Raw genomic sequence first — 18871 nt, 5'->3', positions numbered from 1 at the left:
TCATCAAGTATTATTGACAGCCTACTATTAACAAATATTGCATTGTCTAGAGACCAATGACAGAAAATGTCACTGCTACCAAGCAGTTTATAGTCTATTTTCGTGGGTATTTCCAATAAATAGTTAGGCAAAGAATTTCTATTATTGGGATAATTGCCACAAAATCTGTTACTATGACAGCAGAAAATGGGAGGGCCTATTTCAGTGTTCGGGTGAGAGAAAGCTTTAGAGAGAACATGTCACATGTGCTGACTTCTGAAAGATGAGTATGGACTAGCCAGGCAACTGGGCATGAGAAAACGGAAGGTGAGTTTAAGGCATAAGAAACAGCATGTGTAAAGGTCCTGAGGTTTAATAAAGATTGTGGGAAGTGATTCACAATTAGACTGGAAAAGTAGGCCTGAAATATGGGGTCCTTTCAGACTGTGTTTGAGATTTTGAACTGTATCACAGAAGCAATGGAGACCATGGAAGACTCGTAGATGGGAAACAGATGTAACTAAATATCTCTTAGGATTAGAGAGGAAATTACCCTAAGGTATTTTTAAAAATTATTTGGAATAAGACAAGAGGAAGCAGAAATAATAGTTAAGATATTATTATTGCAGTAGTTCAGACTGGTAAAGATGTTGGTGAATTAGAATCTAGTGATAATGGAGGAGTTAGAAAGAAGTGAACAGATTTGATAAGCATTTAAGAGGCAGCTGCTTCTGGATGCATAGCTGATTGGATAACAGAGCAGTAAGAACACAGATGTGAAGAATGCCTTCCTTGTTTTTGATATGAACTGATGGAAACTGTCATAAATTACCAAGAAGAATGCGGAAGGAAAAATGTTTGATAAAAAGAACATTAATCCAGTTTGTTGAGTTTAAAATAAGTGTAACACATCCAAGTGAGAATATTGAGTAGGCAGTTGAATACAGAGGACTAAGCACAGGAGAATTCAGATGGTGTACCCATGGTGAGTGTTCCACCAGCATATAAGTGACAACTTTATATGTTTATTGCCACACTTCGGCCTCCTTTGTTTCTCGATTAGAAGCTCTTAGTATTACTGAAAAGTAGTTTTCTGCTTATGAGAATTAGGTAGACCATTGTATCTTCACCCATCTTATTTGCCATACTTAATTTTCTCTTTTCACAATTCCAAATGAGTCAGTCAGAAAGCTAATTTTTTTCAGAAAGCTTCTTCACCATTGAGCACTGTTATCTGCTTTCAATAATCTATTAATATTACAATAATAGAAGAACAATACCAATAATTTACCAAGCACATAAATGTCCCAGACGCTGTTACATCCTTTGCATATATAATTTCTAATTGTTTCAACAATTATATGAAGAAGTATTTTCCAAAGCATTTTGTCAGTGAAAGAACCGAGATCTGGAGCAGCTGCATTGAACAAGATTATTCCTATGCTAAGTGGGAGGCTTGTCTTCAATCCTGAGTCTCTAGGACTGGACACCCAGATTGCTCCTAAGAGTTCTCATTGAGAACATATTAAATAAATGTTTTGTAGGGGGCAGAATCCTTTTTTCTTTCCTCTCTTATGTCCTCCATCTGGGTTCCGGCAAATTAGACTGACAAAAGACAGATGAACAAGAGAAAAATGAATACTTTATTAACATGTATAGCCTGCAAGAGAAATTCAGTAATGAGTAACTCAAAGGAGTATTTAAAACCTGGATTTATATAGCATCTTAACAAATATCAATATTTGTACAGAACTGAAAAGACAAAAAAACAACAAGTTTTTAGGCTTCCTGAGGTTGCAAACTTTGGGAAGGTAAATATACGGGGGAAACAGATGTAAGGTAAGGAGTATCTTAGCAAGATTTGTTTATGCAGAACCGTCTGGTAGCCAAATTTCTATCTTCTTCAGGACCATAAAACTTGCTGGAAAGAGGGGATTTATGGCAGTCTTCATTTCTCAGAAGCTTCTGCCTCTGGTTATATAATGGAAGCTCTGAGAAGGCTTATTTCTGCATGTGTGGATTTTCTTTTGCCTCTAGCTCATAAGAGTTTTCATGCCAAAGTGTCATATTTTGAGGTGGTATATTCTGAACCCCTATGACTTCATGGAAATGATGGAAACAAGTACCAGCTCTTACTAAACTGGCCCAAATACTCCAGGCAAATCTTGCAGAAGTTTCAGAGGAAAATTATATTTAGAAATAACATAAAGATGATATTCAGAATGCAACCATGGATCAGACTTTATATCTGTTCCCTTTATTTACTTTTGTGAGGGCAATAAACAATAGAGGCCACTTTTCATCACTTTATAAAATAATATGTCAAAAGAGTCCTCAAAATTCATTTGTTCTAATAAAGATCTCAGTAGGATGTTAATTTAGGATGGTTATAATAAATAACAATGTAATTTCTACAAGAAGAGCAAACACTCTGTCTGTGTGGAATAACCAGGTCCTGATTCTGTGCTTACTGCTTCCAAGCATTTGACACGTTAATGAGATGAGTGGGTGAAGTACAGAGAAACATTGTTCAGACCTCATTTCAACTTTCCTCTGTCTATATCAATCACTTCACTTTTTTTCTTTTTAAAAATCTTACTTTTTCAGATTTTGCTTATTTTGTGCAGAGGATGAGGCTTAAGGTGAATTTAATCTTGTCTTAGTAGATTCTTTAAGCACAGAATACAAATTAATGATATGAAATGTATATACATATTTTAGAAGCATTTCTAGGTAATATGAAGTAAAATGGAAATAACTTCATATGCCTAAAACATATTTAATGTTCAAATATTTTTCTTACAAATTGTTTTATCTAGTAAAATAGATCTTTGAAATAATTTTGAATATTTTTCTTTAAAATAAAATATTTGTAAAAATCTACTAGTTACCCCAATAAAAAATAAGAAATTTAGAAAATACAGAAAGATAAAAAATAAAAATATTTCTATGTTTTCTTCCAGGATCTATTTATCTCATAACTGTGATTATAAAAGTATCACATAAATAATATAAATGATTATAAGGTGAATTTTATGTTTTGATAGCCTAGTTTGAGTAATTTATTTGCTGATGAAAACTATCAAATAATACTACGAATTAGCTTTGGGGCCTTTTATTAGCTTAACACACTTCATGACAAAGTCACAATATAAGAACATGAGATTAGATGAATACAAATTTGATCAGTAGCCACAGCACTAAAGCAGTTATTTCAGTGCTGTAAACCTCAAGTGTTACAAACTTAAAGACAACTGTCCTCCCAAGAGTCTACCCTAAATGCCTCTAGAGAATCAAGGCCTCTTTTCCCCTTCCACTTCAGGTGACTGTCTCTTACTGGCCGACTTTACCCTGGAAATATTCAAGGAAGGAAATTCTGGAAAATGTAGTTCTGTGAGACCATAGAAGGATGTGGTGTGATGCCAACTTAACAGCACACAATCTACCACATTATATTATAAAATAAGTTAAAAAGCCGGATGGACTTTAATGATCCCACCTTAAGTATGCTCATTAAAACTCATTATTACTTCTTCCTGCCTATAGATACTCCAGGCGTCCTAAACTTTGAACAGAAAGGAATCTTAGCTGTAGATTCTATAAAAGCATTGAATTTGGTAAAGAGTAAACGTAAATTTTTCAGTTCTGAACTTCTTTTCCTATCTACATTTACTCCCTCGGTGTTCCAATGTGGATTGAATTATCATGTATACACCGACAACTCTCACATTTGTTTCCAGCCTTGACTTTTCCCCTTCTATCATGAAAATATTTCCAGTACCCAACCAACCCTCACTTGGATGGCTTCCACCTTAATCCAAGGCAAACATGATCAATTACCTGCTTTAACTTGAGTCCCAACTTTGATCATTAGTCTTTTATTCTCAACAAAGCAGATAGAGTATATAGGTAATCCTTTTAAAGTTATGTATCAATCCTCTGCCCAGCACCCTTTAGTGGCTTCCACTCTTGTTCAAAGCAAAACTTCAAATTCATCTCAGTGTCCTACAAGGTCCTGGATATCTGCTCTTATTATCTTTCTGACTTCACTTTCTATTACTGTCTGACAACACTTACTTCATTCTAGCCCCGCTGGACACCTTGTCATTTCTCTGCTACACCAAGCATCTTCTTACACCAGGGTCATTGAAATTGCTCTTCTTTCTACTTCGGGTACTTACTTCACTCAGGATTCTGATCAAATGTCACCTTCTCAGTAAGTCCTGACTTTTCTATATAAAATAATATCTTACCTAAGGACTATTATACCTCTTTTTATTTGCTTAAATTAATCCTTGACAAATGTCAATATATGAGATATAATTTTTTATTTTTATCTCTTTTTCCCACTAGATTTTAAGCTTCATGAAGAAGAGAACTTTGTCTTATTCACTGCTATATCCAAGGAAGAAAGAGCAGATCCCAGCATTTTGTAAACACCGAATAAGTAATCTGTGAATGAATAAATGAACAAAAGCTGAGTTGTGTTGAGAAATGATGACACAGATGTGATTGGCAAGCAAACATTTAGATTCAACCATAATAAATAAGTGTATTGTCATATCAAAGAAAGAAGATGTCTACTGCATAGTTAAGCTCATTTATCTAAAGTATTAACAACTCTTCTTTAATTTGATATGTACTCAGTCATTTCTATTTTATTGGACTCTAACTTAATGTAATATGCTGACTGGCTATGGAGTAGCCCTTCTTCATAAAATAGCACAATAACTCCAGGCTCTTTAGAAAAGTAAGATCATGCCATTTTTTAATTCCCAAATAAGCACTAGCAATACAAAAATTTTACCTCTTTTGTGATATCTGAAGATTGACTTTGACTTGGTATTTAACTGGGTTTCTGATCAGATTTCCCAATATTTTGCTCTGACAATTTCTATTTGCATTTCCTTCTCTCTTCCTCTTTCTCAACTTCGCTCACTGCCTTCCCTCTCCTTGAATGCTCTTCCAGCATTGATTTGCTTATAAAATATTTTCTCTGCATCTAAGACTTATTTCAAGTGCTAATACCCTGGCCAACCCTTTCCTGATTCACATAGGTAGATGAAGGCACTCCTCTTATGCTCTTATTGCACCATGACCACAGTATTTGAAGGAAGAAGCAGTATATGTCATATAAATATCCCTAGTGCCTTTCTTATTGCCTTACTTAGATACTTGTTATATATTATTTTCTGAATGAATAAATGAATGAATTCATGCAGGGAAAACAAACCGGCATCCAAAGCTAAATAGCAGCTCCTGCATTCTCACAACTACTGTTGAAATCACACTGTTTTATATTCTAGAGACATAAAGTTCTGCACTGAGATAAAACAATGAATTAATTTCTGTAATGTCACATACCTTGAACTCTGAGGGACAGAAATATTTAATTTCCTAATGTGAAGACATAGTTTAAGGAAATTAAACCAGCGATTTTCTCACTCAAGTAATATGTTTTATTTTAACCCAATGAATATATTTATACAATACTATAATGTCTATAAATTTTTCTTCTATAAAAATTAATGGATCTGGTAAAGTTTAGTCACTAATTAATGAAAAGGCAGAGCATCTTGATTTTTGAGTGATATTTTTAATTTCTGTAGCTTAAAAAATTATGAAACAACTCATATTTCCAACTTCATCCTCTTGCTGATACCCTACTGTCTTCCTATTATTATTGGTAGTAAACTTGTCTTGCCTGCCAAGTGAGTCACTTGAGATGGGAACATTTCTTGATTAGAACCTACTTGGGTCAAAGTAATATAAAGAATATATAAGAATGAAAGAAAAAAAATACCATGCTTTATGAACACACAGAAAAACATATGTATATAAGTGAATTGTTTAGGAAACAAAGTCTCTAGATAATGAAAAAAATGCTGCTGGATCTCAATCTTACTAATTTTAGAATTAAAATATAGTGCTAAAATGGCTACTACTCCAAGACCTGTATGAAATTTAAAGAGCCAAAATCTAAATATTAGTTTAGTGGTGAAGGAAACCAAAATATGCCACAGCAAAATATGTTTCTTTGGTATATTTTGAGATGGCTATTTAGAGGGGTTGCAGACACAGGAATAGCTATGAAAAGCTGTCCTTTTGTGGAAGAGATTTGCATCTGTAAAGGAAATCTACATTAGTGAAATAAACAGCAGACGCAAATAGGCTTTATCTGACCCCACCCCCCACCCTTATTTGCCTTATATGAATCTAGGAAGTGATTAACAGAAAAGGAGACTAAAAGTCTGAAACTTTTGGAAGTTTGACAGAGAACATTTTACTATGGGCTCCCATCTATTCTTCCTCAGGACTGCTACCCATGAAGCTTCATCTGCATCACAACAAAGCCTTTGCTCACCATGCCTTTCCTCCCCTCCCCTTTCCATAACCTGTCACCATGCTTCAACCCTCTTTTCCTTTCTCTATGAAACTAAAATTTCAGTCATCTGGCTCTTCTTTGAGTTTCATATTTTTTGTGACTCCTGTGTGCACACATGTGCATGCAATAAATTCGTATGCCTTTTCTCTTTTAATCTGTCTATAGTCATTTTATTTTACAGACTCAAATATCAACCTTTCCTACAATAGTTTTTAAGATATATCCATGGATTCTTTGATATTTCTCCTTGACAATTGGAGCTTTGTACCCCCTCCCTTAGTGTAGGATAGACTTAGTGATTCATTTCTGGCAAATTTAACTTTAGAAGGATAAGACATTACTTCCAAGATAGTTTATAAAGCAATTGTGAGTTCTATGTTGCACATATTCAACCTTTCTTTCTCCTCCCCAACCCTCATCACTCACTTTGGAGGATACCATGCTACCATGTCACAGTGTAAATGAGGCAGTTATGGAAAGGTAGAAACTTACTTTTATGTACTGAGGACACTCAAGAAGCCCAAGGGAGAGGTTCACATGGCACGGAACTGAGGCCTTGAGCCAATAGTCACATTAAGTAGGCTGTTTTGGAAGAGAGTCCATCAACCTGGTCAAGATTTCAGATGTCTTTGGTCTGAGCTGATGCCTTGACTACAACTTCAGGAAAGACCCTGTATTAGTTTTTTACTGCTATTTAATAAATTACCACACGTTAAATGGCATAAAACAGCATATATTTATTATCTTATGTTTTTCATGAATCAAGATTTCAGACACAGCTTAAGAGGGTTCTCTGTTGAGGGTTACACAGGGCTAAATTAAGGCTAAGCTTCACTGATTTAAGGAGCTCAGGTATTCTTCCAAGATGCTTCTGACAGAATTTATTTCCTTGCAACTGTAGAATTCATGGTTGCTTGCTTCTTCAAGGTCATTCATCCAAATAGGTTAGACCTATGCAGGATAATCTCCATTTGATTAACTTAAAGACAATAGATTAGAGATTTAATCATATCTGGAAAATCCTTTCACTTTTGCCATATTCTATTGATTAAAAGAGGATTACGTAAAGGTTTGAATACTAGGAGTCAGGAGTCATGGAGGCCATCTCAGATTTCTGGCTACTAGAGATTCTAAATCAGAACTACCCACCTAAGCTCTTCCTAAATTCCTTACCCATATGAGATAATAAATATTTGTTTTATTAGGTCACTACATTTTGGGGTATTTTGTTACACAGCAATAAATAACGAACACAATGAGGTTATACTTGCATAAATTACACTCAGGGAAGGAGTATATAATATTATCACTGTTTTCTTATTGGTTCAGAAAGCCCGGTTCTGCTAAAAGTAGTTGTTAAAGAGTACCGTATTAAGTAAGGGTATAATCTTTGGGTTTCATGTGAAGAACTTACAGGAAAAAAAAAAAACAGCACAAAGACAGCTAGAAATGTCAAAATATAATCCCAATACTCAACGATTAAAATAAGAAATTGATACAGAACTTGGACTAATTCTTACATACGAGCTGTTCATTTGAAAGCACTGAAGCTTTAGCATAATACCATTTTTGGGGTCAAAGTAGAAATTTAGAGGCAGAATCATCTTATAGCAAAATCAAACCAAAAAACATTTCTTGCTAACTTATCAGTAATTAAAATGTTACATATTAAAAATTATGAAATATTTAATTTTTATTGGACATGAGTGCAAATTAAATAAAATTCTTCTTTCCACATTAGTGCATAATGTAATCTTTCCTTATGAGTAGCGTGATAGTAATTAAGAGTGGTGGCACTGATACATGTTTATGTAAAAAGATTACTTCATTATACATAAAACTAAAATTTTATGAAAATAATTCTAACCTTTAACATTTTCAAATAAATTTTTCTGTATAACCTCCCATTTCAATATACACCTAATCTTCTTGGGGATAAACATTTTTATTACCTGAAAGTTAATTATGTATAATCAAAAAGTTATAAATTATCTGTAAACATCTTGCTTTCAAATATTTGTTACTTAATCTGCTGCTTTTATGATTTCTTTGACATAGTGAAATTCTTATTTTAATAAAATAATTAATTCAAAAAGATAATATTTTAATAAATATATTGACTGCCTTTGTGCCGGGGGAAACAACTCAAAAAACTAAAAAAGATAGGTCTGCTCTGGTGAGATCATTTGCATCAATCAAATAAATGATGAAATTTATTTGTTGTTTCAAAAGTGAGGAAAGATGAAGAACTAAGTATAGCTATAGGGATATCTTTATTGTTTTGATGAATATCCAATATAGAAGTGATATGTTTATTCATATATAAGTATAAATATAATTTTAAACCCAAATAAAAAGTGATTTTAGACTTTTAACTTTTTTGTTTATTATACATTACCATTATAGATATATGAAAATATAAAGACTCTTTATATTCTTTGCTTATTCTTATACATTATCATTTTGCAACATTTACAATAATAAAGAGTTGGTTCTATGTGCAACCCTAAATCTTATTTTTATGGCCAGCAGCACAACTTCCAAGTAGAAATGATGAAAACAAGAGAGCAAGAGGAAACAGTAAGCAATCAAAATTCTTGTCCTGAGGAGAAAGAGGCCTCTGATATCTAACTGGTGATAAGTTACTTTATGAATACAAGAATTCCAGAAAGCAATTTTACAATATTGCCTTAAAATAATACAATTCTAGAAATAGGATGTAAAGCACTGTTAGATGGTAGAATCAGCAATGAAAAAGCATTTTCATATCCATTATTTTATTTAGTCTTCACAAGTTCCCGTGAGTGACTAACGGCAGGATATAAAATTTCTGCCATTTGTGGATGAGAAACTGAATCTCAGAAACATTAAGTTATTGGTCCAAAGTTGCATAGCTACTACATGATAAACCTATGAAATGAAACTCAAATTGTATTACTGGTTTTCTGAAGTTTATTCACTAGAAAATGTTGACTTCACTCATCCATAAATATACTTTCAAAATTGGATCTCCATGAACTAATAAGAGCCAAGGAATCTTAATTTTAAAATGAGAATGGTAAAATTTTATAGATTTCAGACACATAGAAATCATCCCATAAAGTGACTTAGAGCAGGTCCTGCAGCCAGCCTTGCAAAGTAGCTTTATATGGTAGATTTTACCACTTTACAGATAAGAAATAGTTTTAATTGTATAATATCAAATAGCTAATGATATTTGGAGCCATGAGCCTTCATCTTATGCAGGTTCTGAAGTTAAGTGCAACTCAGGGATTTCTAAGTAGATTATTCACAAATTGGAGTGCTTATACCCCAAAGCCATTGCCCGTGAATGTGTATGAAATTGTAGGATAAATAAAACACACCTTTCCAGAGTATCCATTTTACTTCATATTGAGCACCATACCACAGTTTTCTTATACTAAAACAATTGCAAGTACATCACAGGCTGTAAAAGTCAAATGAATAATTAAAGTATAAAACTTCAAAGATATTTCTTAAATTGGGGTTTTTTGTTTGTTTGTTTGTTTGGATTCTGCTCCCATGCTCCCTGGGTGTTTATTTACTCTCCTCTCATGTCGGGGTATTGTTTGGGAAAGTTAGACAAGTATCACTTTTTTATATGAAGGTCATGAAGCCCCTTTCTTTCTTTTTATCTCTCTGTAATACAGTCCTCTAGAGTGAATCCAAACTTCAGTTCATACTCGTTTCTTAAAATCCCAGGTCAAAGAGTATCACAATTAGTCTCCAATTTAGGAATTTCTTATACATCTGAAAACATATATTCTATGCCCTCTGATTAGACTAGTTTGATAAAAGAACACTGTGTGCTTTTCAAATTCACCACTTATAGTCTAAATAATTACAATATTGCCAGTTTCATACTGACTTCTCATTAGTGGGTTGGCCTATGCTTCCTCCTCCATTTGGTATTCCTCCAGGGACTGCATGTTGGATTTCCCTTCGGACTTCCCTTTTTATGTTCCACCTAATGAGTTATCCCTCTCCTTTCCCTGCCAATCCAACCCCATCAGCTACAACCCCTCTTTTTCCTATTCCTGATTTATAACACTCTCCAATAAAAACAAGGATGACATTTTACTTCGAAGTTGAGATAGGAATTGAATGAAATAGTAAATAGAATTGGTAGAATTTCTGACCTCCTTCAAGTGTCATAAGTCAAACATTTTGCCATTCACATTGGGCAATTAATAAATTTCTACTATGTGCTTTATCTTGCCCCCAACTCAAGTTTTCTAAGATAATAAAAATGTATATCTCATAGCTGTCTTAAAATATTAGACAATTTAACATTAGCAAATATTTTTAAGGTGGTAAGATTATATATATATATATATATACACACACACACACATATTTTCCTTTTTATCTTATTAATAGGATTTTTACAGAAGTTTGAGGTTTACAATAATTGAGAACACAGTACAGAGAATTCCCTTATATCCCCTCTTTATCACCTCACAGTCTTCCTCATTATTAACATCTTGCATTAATGTGGTACATTTGTTATAATTGATGAGCCAATATTGATACATTATTATTAACCAAAGTCCATAGTTTACATTTGGCTTCACTCCTTGTGTTACAGTTTTATAGGTTTTAACAAATGCATAGTGTCATGAATCCACCATTATAATATCATGCAGAATACTTTCACTGCCCTAATGTGCCCCTGTGTAGCACCTGCTCAATCTTCCTCTTCCCCTCAATCCCAGGAAACCACAAATATTTTATTGTCTCTATAATTTTGCCTTTTCTAGAATACTATATATTTAGAATCATACAGTATGTAGCCTTATCAGACTGGCTTTTTTACTAAGCAATAGGCATATTAGATTTCTACATTTTTTATGTGGCTTGACAGCACATATCTTTTTGTTGTTGAATTATATTTTATTATATAGATATACTACATACAATTTGTTCATCAATTCACCATTTGAGGGACATTTTTGTTATTTCTAGTTTGAGAGGATTATGAATAAATCTATACACATCTGTGTACAGATTTTGGGGTGAGCCTAAATTTTCAACTTACTTCAGTAAATAACTAGAAAAGGGATAGCTGGACCACTTGTAAGGCTATGTTTAGTTTTTTTCAAGAAACTGACCAAACTGTTTTCCAAAGTGGCTATACCATTTTCACCCTTACCAGCAATGAATGTATTCAGCATTCTTACCAGCATTTGGTATTGTTGTTTTTATGTTTTGTTTTGTTTTTGTATTTTCACTATTCTAATAAATGAAAGATGTTCTAATTATTTTATTCCATGTTATTGTTTCTCTTCAGGGTAAATGTCTTGTTGAAATATTAAGCTTTTTTCCTGCTAAATTAAAAGTCAGACAAGTTTACATGTGTCTGATATTTTAAACAAAATTCAAGTATTTAAAATCTAAAAATCTCCTCAATAAAGTTGATGATAAACTTGAGTGCTATAGGAATGAGATATACCAAAGCCTTTTCTAAACTAGAAAATTATGTAATTTGGGCTTAGAAGAGACAATTCATGAATAGCATCATCTTGAAAAGTTTACATTACTTATACTTTGAATAGTGAGCCAATTCAAGTCTGAGAATAAGAAATGAAAAGAATAAATACATGTAATTTTGAGTTTTTTAGAATTCATTTTAAAGCCACCAACTTTATTATTACTAAGATGCAAGCAAGGCTTCAGCAGCTATAGGGCACCTGATTTATTTTGAGTAAGAAAAACATGATAGGTAATTCATTAATAAATTTATTTACAAATTTCTTCATAAGGAAGGGCTTAGAGATGAGAGAATCTCTCTTTTAATAATATAGTCATTTCATGAGTAAAAGCCTACAATATGGGTTCACATCACACTATGAAGGAGGAAACAGCTTGATTGGAGTGTATAGAAAGCAAAGAAGACATAATCAATAACTAGTTTATTCTTCTTTGTGGAGCAGGATGACACTTTGTGAAGAGATTGGAGTTTATACACTGAAAAACTTGGATGGGAGGAGATTGCTGGCTGGTTTGTAGCAAATGCTCAAGAGTTCTGTGGAGGCTTCAAAATAGTTATGTATTGCTGGCTGGGGTTTACAGAAAGCCAATTCTTAAAGACTTTTATAGACAGGGTTTAGCATGCAGGATGCTTATTAAGAAGTGCCTTTGGGACCAGGTGCAATGGCTCATTGGGAGGCTAAGAGGGAATGATCACTTGAGATAAGGAATTTGAGACTAGCCTGAGCAGTATACCAAGACCCTTTCTCCACGAAAAAAAAATTTAAATTTGCAGGGCATGGTGGCATGCACCTATAGTCCTAGCTACACAGGAGGCTTAGGTGGGAGGATGACTTAGGAACTGGAGGTTGCAATGAGCTATGGTTGTGCTACAGTACTCTGCCCTGGGCAACAAAGTGAGACCCTGTCCAAAAAAAATGAGGTAAAAATTTTTTTAAAAAAGAAGTGCCTTGAGATCAAAAGCCATGAATGAAAAGGGAAAAAAACAAGATTGGGGAGAAGAGTATGTAGGGCTGCCAGGCCAACCCAATAACATCAGCCAACACCACAAGGAATTTAAAAGCTGAAATGGCCCAACAGAGTTGCCCCACTTTGGGATAAAAGGGCTTGAACTTTTTTTACTTTTGCCTAGATCAGTCGCTAAATGTGGACCACCCCTGGAAAGACATGATCTTGGAAAAAGTGGGTCTCTATAGCTGAAGTAATTCCTGAAGAGGCTCCTCTCTAAAGGCTGTCTGCTGGCAGTACACCCAGCAGTTGTTAAGGATCTTTGTGGGCCACATCTGTGTTCGCCATTCAATCCCTTGCGCATCTATGATTCCATTTTTCATATGCATCCACAGAGCGGCTCCTCCAGGATTGCAGTGTGTCCCTTTTCCTGAAAGAAATTTTGAAGAGGGAGGTTAACGGGACCTACTATATTCCTGACCACTGCAGCTGATGTTTAAGCTACAAATGATAATGCTCCTCTCTCTATTTTATCATCCACTCTAAGCTTCTTTTACCCTCAGTTGCTTGTCTTTGGGGTTACCTGGTGACAGACTAGAGATCTTCATCCCTTAGGGGTCTGAGCTGTTGGTCACCATGCTCTTCTCAAACCAAAGCTGTTGCACTTGGCTACCTGGAAATGCCAAGAGGTGCTCAAGTAAATCTCAGATGCCAAACATATTCTTCCCTGCTCCCGTGCAGTAATATCAGTTTTATTTCCACCTGATAATCAGATCAATTGCCCAGGCCAAGTTACTTGCTGATCCCTAAACACAAGGGCCTAAATAGTTCAATAAGCATCCTGCTGTGCCCCCTGGCTGAAGTTCTCCCCCTCTGAGGGACAGGAACTTTGAATTATCCATAGCCCAGACTTGCGGAAATGGATGATCTCATCCACTCGTGCTTCCAGTATTTGGTTTCCAAACCCATGTACTTCTATGAGGGATATAATATCATGTTATATGTTTTGATTTGAGGTATATGTAGCAAACTGGAGATTGGCACTCCACCCTCAAAGTGTTGGCTCTGAGCTGGCATGTACTACTTAGTTGGTCTTTCGAGCACTTTATCAGGCCAGCAGTTTCTGGAAGACACAATATGTGATATAAACGGTGAATCACATGGTAAGAAGCCTACTATTATCCTCTAAAGTAGATTACCTTTTGGGAAATAAAGTTTTGTGGTATCAGCCAGTGCTAGTGGAGCAAACGTTCTCTAAGACTTTGGATAGTAGTGCTGACCTGAGGCCATGAAGAAAGGAAAGGCAAACCATGCACAGAATATGTGTCTGCTCCTGTTAAAATGTACCTATGTCTCCTACAGTTTGGAAGGGACTCAATATAATCAAGTTGCCACCACATACTTAGTTGGGCTCCTCTAGAAATGGTACCATGTTAGGAGTTCAGCGTTTTCTTTGTTGCTGGCAGTTTAGACACTTAGCATTGGTAGAAGCTATATCAGTGTTGGTAAATGGAAGCCCACCCATTTTGGGGGGATATGGTCTCCATCTCTGCCACAGAGGACTGTCTCTATGAAGCCATTATGCCACCACTAGGGTAATGAATCTCAAAGTCTGGATGACATCCACTGTCTGAGTCATTTTGTCTTCTTCATTGTTGGATGCCTACTCTGTGGTGAATGCGCTCTAATCTAACATTTAATTCTAAGATATTCACACTTTGTGCCTTCTTTAATGTGTGCATTCAGATTTCTCTATCTCAGTTCTCCTTGCCTCCAATCTTCCAGTTTTTCCCCTTACAAGTCCCTGAGCAGCCATCCATGAATTTGGATATATTCTAATGTTGGGCCACTTTCCAAATGGCCAGGTGGATAACCAGACGCGTTGCCTAAAACTCTGCCTATTGGGATGACCTTCCCTATCTCCCTCCAACCACCAACTGTCTTTCAAGACCACCTCTGAAAGTGAAAGGGAGAGGATAAGGGGAGGAAGAGTAGAAAATATTAATAGTAGTGTCTGTTTATTAAATGGTCTCTATGGTCCTACCTCACAGATGAGGAAACAGAGGCTAAGAAAATTAAGGAAGTTTCCCAAGACTACAAAGCTTAATAAAAGTTTCCTTTCTCTGAACTTCTATGTCACCTTCTGATTGTATTTTTTACCTAGCGTTTGCCATTTCTTGCCTTATGGAACTATCATCTTTTTCTATATGTTTCCCTTTTCATGAAATCAATTATCAATCTCTTTGAAGCATAGATTGTTTTCCTTTTTAATTTATATCTATTGCCTCTAACACAATGCCCTGGACACAGTAGGTGCTCAGGAAAGTTTTTTTGATGATGACATAGGAGCTCAAAACAAATGAAAACATTAGATAAACAATATTTAAAGTGTGACAGTTATGAGATGCAAAATTTGAAGTTGTTGTGCAAGTTTGGTGGATATAATAGAGAAATAGGTCTCTCTGCTGCATAAGTTGCGGGATATGGAAGGATATATTATATTTAAATAAAAAGTACAGTGGGCCAGGTGCAGTGGCTCACACCTATAATCCCAGCACTTTGGGAGGCCCAGCGGGTGGATCGCCTGAGGCCAGGAGTCCAAGACCAGCCTGGCCAACATGGTGATACCCCGTCTCTACTAAAAATACAAAAAATTAACTGGGAATGGTGGTGAGTGCCTGTAATCCCAGCTACTTGGGAGGCAGAGGCAGGGAGAATCACTTGAACCCAGGAGGCGGAGATTGCAGTGAACTGAGATCGTGCCATTGAACTCCAGCCTGGACAACAGGCAAGACTCTGTCTCAAAAAAAAAAAAAAGTACAGTGAAATTTTTAAGGACTTTAACATCAAGGCCCCCACCATACTGCTTCCTTGCCATGAAACCTTAATGGGCTTTCAACCTCTCAGAAATAGTGTTTCCCCCTCTCAGAAAAAAATCACATCTCTCTGAGAGAGTTAAGAGGTAATAGCTTGGGAAGATTTGAAATGGTAATAACATGATGCTCTGAATGTACATTAGCTATTTGATAATATGTGATCTAGATGATAGAACATGATATATGTCATATAATGTGTAATATACATACTATATGCTACATAGATATATAATATTAGTCTGTCATTTTTAATAACTCTTTTATTTTTTTTAGCCAAAGCCCAGAGTGAATTCTCAATAAGTATTAGGCCTTACTCTTTAGACAGAGAAAATGCTGTTAGTCACTCATGTGAAGTTGCTGCTTTTTCCCTCTGTCTTCTTTATTCTCTGTCTGATTTTCCTCTCCTTAACTGTCACTTCTGTCTCTAGGCATATGTCAGAACCATGAAATATTAATCAGTTCCCTGAGGGAAAGCTTTTCCTAGGGCTTTTCTTGCTCCTGATTTTCCAAGCAACTGCGAATACCTCTTTCTTCCACCCTATACTATTCGTGCTGCAGACCTGCCGGGACTAAGGATACTTGAGCTCGTAATGGCAAATTGTTGGGTTGGTACAGTCCATATTAGTTCATCTTCAGGTCCTAGCAGCAGCATAGAGTACAGTCTCTTCATTCAGTAGATGATTAAAAATGCTTATTGGCTGGAATTTAACTTTATCATAGAACAAATCCGCCTGTATTTTTTTTTATTCCCTTTCAAGAAGCTTTCTGTGTTTAACACAATTATGTCTTCCTGAAGGCAAACTCCTAAAAGAAGATAATATTTGCATTGATTTTTTAGTAACTAAGATGTTATTTTTAAAAATGTATTATTAAAACTAAAGGTTTGTAATTTTTAAAAAACTCAAACATTAGATAAACAATATAGATAAACAAAGATAGATAAAAGTGAAGCAAAGGCTGGGCACGGTGGCTCATGCCTGTAATCCCAGCACTTTGGGAGGCTGAGGTGGGCGGTTCATGAGGTCAGGAGATCGAGACCACCCTGGCCAACATGGTGAAACCCTGTCTCCACTAAAAATACAAAAATTAGCCGGGGGTGGTGGCAAGCACCTGTAGTCCCAGCTACTCGGGAGGCTGAGGCAGGAGAATGGGGTGAACCCGGGGGGCGGAGCTTGCAGTGAGCCGAGGTGGCGCCACTGCACTCCAGCCTGGGCGACAGAGCAAGACTCCGTCTCAAAAAAAAAAAAAAAAAAAAAGAAAGAAAGAAAGAAAAAAAAGTGAAGCAAAACTCAAAAAGCCCCCATTAGTCTACCTTTAACACTGTTGGAAATTCTCACTATTAATTAGTTCTTGTGTAGCCTTCCAGAAAATAGATATAGAAAAACACACATGCCACAGTCTTACACACTCATACTCCCTCCATGAGCACTTATTCATGTACTAGAATTTGTATGTATACATGTATTCATATATATATATATATAAAGTATAAAGTATATATCACTCATACTGTTCTGTAACTAACTTAAAAATCTGAACTGCATTAATGATAATCAGAATAGTTGTCTGTTGGGAAGCTTTTCATACAAGCACCCTAGAAGCAACATCATTCATTTTTATTGCTTTCATAGGATGTCATTGAAGAGAGAATCCATAACTTATTGCAGAATTCTTCTATTTATAAACACTTTGATTGTTCTCACTTTTTTGTGGTACAAGCTGTGCTTCAGTGAATGTGGCTATGCTTCTCTTATTGCAGACCTGAGCCAACATTAATACACCCATAGATTGCATACAGAAAAGGAGGCATGCTTCAGTTATAGTAAAATAGTTTTTTTTTTTAATTTTGAATAGACTGTGTTTCCCAATAGTTTGACTTTTTTACACTCCCAACAATAGAGTGTGAGAGTATCAATCTTACACTTGGAAAAGATAAAATGGTACCGTAATATTGTGAAAATTATATTTAGTCTTAGTTCCTGTTTTCTGGCATACAAAGCCTAAAATCCTTGGAATCTCTGGAGTGATGAGTGGGTTTTTTTGTTTGTTTGTTTTATGCTACTGAGATGACTGGTGGCTGGGGCACTTTAAAAAGTGTCAGCTGATTTAGAAACACCTCTGGGAAAAAAGAGGGATTGAAGATTAAGTTGATCGCCAATGGCCAAAGTTTTAATCAACCATATCTGCTTAATCAAGTCTCCATAAAATTCCAAAAAGACAGGCTTCAGTGAGCCTCCTGATAGGTGAACACGCGGAGGTTACTGAGGGTGGTGCACCCAGAGAGGGCATGGAAGCTTCTCCCATACCCCGCTCTCTGCATCCCTTTAATCTGGCTGTTAATCTGTGTACTTTGTAAAATCCTTTGTAATCTTGTCTATCCTTTAAGTAAGATAAAAATGTAACATGGTACCTAAAAATACAGAAAAACAAAACAAAACAAAACAAAAGTGTTTTCTTCTCTCTTACACACCACTCAACACAACACTTCACCAGATATGTGAGGGTTTTCCCCATATACAAACCAAGATTCTGCAGCAAACAACAGCTGAGTGTCCTCCAATTCAATCCCACACTATCTACTGGAGATAGTGTCAGATCTTTTAGACCGAGGGCTCATTTCTTAAAGATAGATCTCCATTTTAGATGCCCACTTAAGCCCGAGGTTGTAGCCTGTGCTTCTGACTGACTGGTTATAAATTAGTGTTCACACAACCCTTTTCTTAGGTTCAAGTAATTTGCTAGAACAGCTCATAGAACTCAGAGAAACACTCTACTTACAATTATCAGTTTATTATATTTTAAAAATAGAAAAGCACTAAATTCTAGTGTCTGCTTCTGAGTTTAATCTGCTGAGATATAAAATATCATGTAGCCTGTGGAAAACTCCAAGATACTCTTGTGAGATAATGACAGTATAAAAGGCAAATAATGTCTTAGTATTATTGCAAAAGAAGTTTTTAACCTTGTGTACCTGAAAAAGTTTTGGAAATCCTCAGGGATACCTGGACCACACTGTGATAACTACTTCATTGGAGCAAGAATTTCTGTCTACAGACATAGCAAGAATGTATCCTGTTCACCTTTCATGCCCTTTCAGCCCAGGTATTGTGGCTTCATAAATCAATTAATCATAACAGAAAGATAGTCTATTTAATGATGAAGAAAACACCAC

At 35.5% G+C, this 18871-nt stretch overlaps 1 long non-coding RNA gene across 1 annotated transcript; it reads left to right on the top strand.

Annotated features, from left to right (window-relative positions):
* Window positions 1–250: 250 nt before the first annotated feature.
* LOC124902982 (uncharacterized) lies at window positions 251–4460 on the top strand. The gene is made up of 2 exons (XR_007063402.1): window positions 251–306; window positions 4333–4460. It is a non-coding gene; the product is annotated as an uncharacterized LOC124902982 (long non-coding RNA).
* The last annotated feature ends 14411 nt before the right edge of the window (window positions 4461–18871 follow it).

The sequence above is a fragment of the Homo sapiens genome, chromosome 12 (assembly GCF_000001405.40).
Source record: "Homo sapiens chromosome 12, GRCh38.p14 Primary Assembly".
Classification (NCBI taxonomy): Eukaryota; Metazoa; Chordata; class Mammalia; order Primates; family Hominidae; genus Homo; species Homo sapiens.
The sequence above is the reverse complement of the archived record's forward strand: the minus strand, read 5'-3'. Positions and strand labels throughout refer to the sequence as shown.